A 5,883-nucleotide genomic window follows, 5' to 3' on the forward strand; every position below is an offset into this window, starting at 1 on the left:
GCAGTTGGAGCATGGGTGGACCTAGGTGGAGGGGCCCTAAGTCAAGCGCTATCTGCCAAGCCTCATTCTGGTCAAAGAGGCATGCCAATGCACTCCTTATTGCCTTAGGCAAGACTGCACCCAAATCTCCAAACCGATTCCATGTCAGGGAACAAGAGGCTCCTGGAGGACGTGGTGTGTCTCAACCATGTCATCACTGTCTCCTAAGCAGGAGGAAGATGTTTATGAAACTCCACCAGAGGAGCCCATCAGAGATCCTGCACAGTTATTATGTTGGCGCAAAGGTAATTGTGGTTTTGGCCATTAAAAGTAATGGCAAGGCCAGGCTCAGTGGTTCATGCCTGTAATCCTAGCACTTTGGGAGGCCGAGGTGGGTGGTTCACCTGAGGTCAGGAGCTGAAGCCCAGCCTGGCCAAGATGGTGAAACCCCATCTCTACTAAAAATACAAAAATTAGCTGGGCGTGGTGGAAGGCGCCTGTAATCCTAGCTACTCGGGAGGCTGAGGCAGAGAATTGCTTGAACCTGGGAGGCAGAGGTTGTAGTGAGCCGAGATTGTGCCACTGCATTCCAGCCTGGGTGACAGAGCGAGACTCCGTCTCAAAAAAAAAAAAAAAAAAAAAAAAAAAAAAAAAATTATGGTGAAAGCTGCAATTACTTTTGCATCAACCTGATATTTCAAATAAGTAAGACTTGTGTGTGATAAAGTGTGCATTGTTTTTTCTGGTGAATGATGATGATGTTGGTACAGGGAGATGGCTACCCGTGGGCTGCAGGACAGTGAGGAGTCGTGGAGGGGCCCGATTCAGGCAGTGTGGCGGGAGAAGTCAGACGACCAGGCAGGGACAGCTGGGATGAGCTCCTCTTCCTGGAATTTCTAGGCAGGGAGGGGAGTGGGAGCAGAAACTTGTCCTGAATAGAGGCTGCTGCTGAGAAAAGGCTAACTGATACATTAACCCATTCATTAAACTGCTAATTAGTGCATGCCTACTGTGCGCAAGGAGCAGAGAAGTGGAAGAAACAAAAGAAGAAAAGGCCATACTTCCTGTCTTCAAGATGTTTATAGTCAGTTGAAGGAGACACAAAAGTGAATGCCTAAGAGAGAAGGAAGAGCAATAGAAAGGAACAGCTACATAATGGATTCTGGGCTTCATACCAAGGTGATGGGTTGATCTGTGCAGCAAACCACCATGGCATACATTTACCTATGTAACAAACCTGCACATCCTGCACATGTACCCTGGAACTTAAAAGTTGAAGAAAAAAAAGGAGAGATAAAGAAATAAACAGCTATGTAAAGTCAGGGAGTTGGGAAAGGAGATGTAACTTCCATCATGGGCCTGAGCCGATTCTTGAGAGATGGTCAGGGCTGGGTATGAAGAGTTGGGAGGAGACACATTCCAGGCACCGAGAACACCCTGAGCCAAGGCATGAGGGTGAGAACTGTGGGGCACACACTCCACATAGAAAGCAGTGCCATTAGGTTATAACATAGAAGGTGTGCCTGCAATGGAAGACACAAATGTCATGTGTACCTCCTGAAACTAAAAAACAAAAGGTTTCTAGGAATATCTGCCCTGGTTCTCCTCCCTCAAACCTTCTAGCAGTTTCACAAGTCTCTCTCATTTTCTCCCTGTCCAGTCCTCAGTATCTCTCTCTAGTTTGCTGATGTAAATAGGGAATTTGAGTTAATTTTTTCCAAAATGTAATTAACATGATTTACATGATTACATGTGAGGGGTATAATTAATGACTTGACCAAGATCCAGTCAAAAGAAATGCTTCCTCCTTCTTTCTTATCAGCCTCATAGTTGACATTAACAAGGCACTTACTAGATGTAAAAGTTGTTGATAACTTCACATGAACTACTTTGTATAATCCTCATATCAACCCTACAGGGTATGTTCTCTTGCTCTCCTCATTTAACAGTTATGTAAACAGAGGCTCAGTGGCAGTGTTCCCCCAACCCGGGAGATATCCAGGAGAAGGGTGCACAGTCAAGGAATTCCACATCTGCCCATACTCGTCAAGACACAAAATGTGGTGGATGTGATCTCTTTGGAAACATAGAAATATAGAAAATATGCATGCATATTTTATGTATCTGCTTTTTTTTTTTACTCTTAAGAGTTTTAATTAATGAACCTTGTAACATTTAAATCATGCAAATTAGACTGCATGCAGGCACTGACAATCCCCTGGGGAATTCGGCATTCCTCTTTTTCCCTTATTGTGAAATTTAAGGCCATAGGAGGTATTTATTTTTGTGTCCACAGCTTACACACACACCACCATCACCACCACCAGAATTTTCTCAGCCATTCCATAGGTACCAAATTGTCTCTATGAGCTCTGGATCCAGGCTGAGTATCTCTCATTGCATCCTATGTTCTGACTGTGTCCCCCCAAATTTTCATGTGTTGAAACTTAATTACCAATATGATAGTATTAAGAGGCAGAGCCTTTGGGAGTGGAACCCCCGTGAATGGGGTTAACAACCTTATAAAAAGGCTAGAGGAACTAGCAATTGTCCCCTTTTGCATTTCTGCCCTTCTACCATGTGAAGACACCTAGATGGCACCATCTATGAAGAATGGGCTCTCTCTAGACACTGGACCTGCTAACATCTTGATCTTGGACTTCCCATCCTCCAGGACTGTAAGAAATAAATTTCTGCCTGGGGACAGTGGCTCACACCTGTAATCCCAACACTTTGACGGGATCACCTGAGGTCAGGAGTTTGAGACCAGCCTGGCCAACATGGTGAAACCCCATCTCTACTAAAAATACAAAAATTAGCCAGGTGTGGTGGCAGATGCCTGTAATCCCAGCTACTCGGGAGGCTGAGGCAGAAGAATCCCTTGCACCCAGGAGGCAGAGGTTGCAGTGAGCCAAGATCATGCCACTGCACTCCAGCGTGGGCAACAAGAGTGAAACTTAGAAAGAAAGAAAAGAAAGGAAAGGGAAGGGAAGGGAAGGGAAGGGGGAAGGGAAAGGGGAAGGAAGGAGGGAAGGAAGGAAGGAAGGAATTTCTGTTCTTTATAAATTACCCATTCTCAGGTATTTTGTTACAGCAACACAAATGGACTAAGATATTGTGTTAGTCTGTGAGCTCTCTCCTGGCCAGGCCTACTGTGGCTCCTGTTCTTCCGGAGATACCAGCTGAGGGGGCAGGGGGTTGAGTTGGAGCCTTCATTACAGTGCCTTCTTAAGTTCTTTTCTCCTACCCATTTCCCTCCCTTCCCCATTTGACCCCCCAGTCATCGTCTTCTCTACTTAGTAGTCTTTATTTGTCCTCACATACACTACTGCTATGCTATGCTCTAATACATAGCATGTATTAGTACCTGTGGAATGACTGAGAAAATTCTGGTGGTGGTGATGGTGGTGTGTGTGTAAGCTGTGGACACAAAAATAAATACCTCCTATGGCCTTAAATTTCACAGTAAGGGAAAAAGAAGAATGCCGAATTCCCCAGGGGATTGTCAGTGCCAGCATGCAGTCTAATTTGCATGATTTAAATGTTACAAGGTTCATTAATTAAAACTCTTAGGAGTAAAAAAAAAAGCAGATACAAGAATTTTGTCGTACTGTAGCTGCTGCTGCTTGGAGAAGCCCCATTAATTGAATCAGGACAATGTGCCAAGCACAGTAACTGATGAAATCTTTACACAGCCCTAAGGTGGACAATATCATTCTCTTTACAGATGAACTGAGCCTCAGAGACAAGGTCCAGTCACCAGCCCTCAAACCAGGTACTGTCCACTATGCACTACTGTCTCTGGCTGGGAGAGAGTTTTAGGGTCAACAAACTGCCCTTATTTTCTTCTTTTCCATTTGATACTTTCTCTTCTTGTTTATATTTTTAAATAAAAGTAATGCATACATATGGTGAAAAAATGTCAAACAACACAAAATCAAAAACTCCCTTATCACCCCTGTTAACATCTATTGTCAATAATTCTTAGCTTTAGTTCTAACAACTTAAAAAATGCAAAACACACACACATAAGTTTCTAATTTACACAAAGTAATCTTATTCTGTACTGTTTTCTAAATTGCTTTCTTTCCTTTTTAATATTTGAGATTTTTTTTCTTATCAGCACTATATAAAAACCTCAAATAGTTTCCTGTCACACTGAAAATAAAATCCAAAGTCCTTACTTTGGCTATCACAATCTGATGCTAAAACTCAAAAAGATACTACAAGAAAGAAAAATTATAAGTCTGTGTCACTTACAAACATAGATGTAAAATTCTTAAACAAAAGAGTAGTAAACCAAACCTAGCAATATGTAAAAGGGATAATACATCACAACCAAGTTGGGTTCATTCCAGGAATTGCAATGTTAATTTAACATTCAGAAATCTGTCTATGTAATCCACACATTAATAAAGGGAAAAAAACATGATCATCTTGTAGAGAAAGCCATTTGATAAAATTAAACACATTCATGATAAAAATAGGAATAGAAAAGAATTTCCCTAACTGATAAAGGGAAACTACAAAATCTATGGTGTTAGAGGTCAGGATAGTGGTTGTTTCTCCATAAAGGGCAAGAGGGGGACTTCTGGTAGTAATGGCTGTTTCTTGATTTGGTTGCCTGAGTGTCATTGCTTTGTGATAATTAAACTATACACATATGAGTTGTACACTTTAGAGTATGTGTATCATACTTAATTTTAAAAGTTTGTAAAAAAAAATGGGGCAGCTGCTGTGGCTGCTTCTGCAAAATCTAAGCACTGGTCTATATGCTGCAGCCATGTCCTACTGCCAGCAGGAAGGGAAGGATGGAATCATATTTGTGACCAAAGATGACCACAAAACTCCAAGCAATGTAGAGCTGGTGGCTGATGACCCCAACAATCCATACACAGCATGGATTGATGCTGCCAAATGAAGACATTAACTGGAACTGCTCGTGCCCTGGGGGAATGGCCAGTGGCCCCTGTGGGGAACAGTTCAAGTTGGCCTTTTTCTGCTTCCACTATAGTGCAGAGGATCTCAAGGGGAAAGACTGTGTAGATGAATTCCGGGTCATGCAGGAATGCATGTAGAAACACCTGGACCTCTATCCCCAAGAGGATGAGGAGGAAGAAGAGGAGAAGTCAGCAGAACATATAGAAGAAACTGCTCCCACTGAGGCCACTGCAACCAAAGAAGAGGTGCGGACAAGTTAATGAAGTCCACAAGGCACCGGGCTCCAGTCCTTCTACTACAGAGTGATACAGGCCTTTTGCACAGTGCCTTTCAGTCACCTCCTATTGGGAGAACCCGCCCCCAATATTTGAAAGTAGGTTCTATTTTCCGTAAGTGTCGGCTGGCTGAGAAATAAACAGAAAGAGTACAAAGACAGGAATTTAACAACTGTGCCGCTGGGGGTGACATCACATATCTGTAGGACCATGATGCCCGTCTGAGCCTCAAACCAGCAAGTTTTTATTAAGGGTTTTAAAAAGGGGAGGGGGTGTAAGAACAGGGAGTATGTTCAAAGATCACATGCTTCAAAGGGCAAAAAGCAGAACTACTAATAAGGGTCTAACAAAGATCACAAGCAAAGGGCAAAAGCAGAACTACTGATAAGGGTCCAACAAAGATCACAAGGCAAAGGGCAAAAGCAGAACTACTGATAAGGGTCCAACAAAGATCACAAGGCAAAGGACAAAAGCAGAACTACTGATAAGGGTCTATGTTCAGCAGTGCATGTATTGTCTTGATAAACATCTTAAATAACAGAAAACAGGGTTCGAGAGCAGAGAACCAGTCTGACCATAAATTTACCAGGGCAGAGTTTTTCCCCACCCTAGTAAGCCTGAGGGTACTGCAGAAGACCAGGGCGTATCTCAGTCCTTAACTCAACCGCATAAGACAGGCACTCCCACA

The 5,883-nt window shown here is 42.9% G+C and overlaps 1 pseudogene; it reads left to right on the top strand.

Moving 5' to 3' along the window:
• Nucleotides 4,763-5,180, top strand: CHCHD4P1 (coiled-coil-helix-coiled-coil-helix domain containing 4 pseudogene 1; annotated as a pseudogene).

This window comes from Homo sapiens, chromosome 7 (assembly GCF_000001405.40).
Source record: "Homo sapiens chromosome 7, GRCh38.p14 Primary Assembly".
NCBI classification, from domain to species: domain Eukaryota; kingdom Metazoa; phylum Chordata; class Mammalia; order Primates; family Hominidae; genus Homo; species Homo sapiens.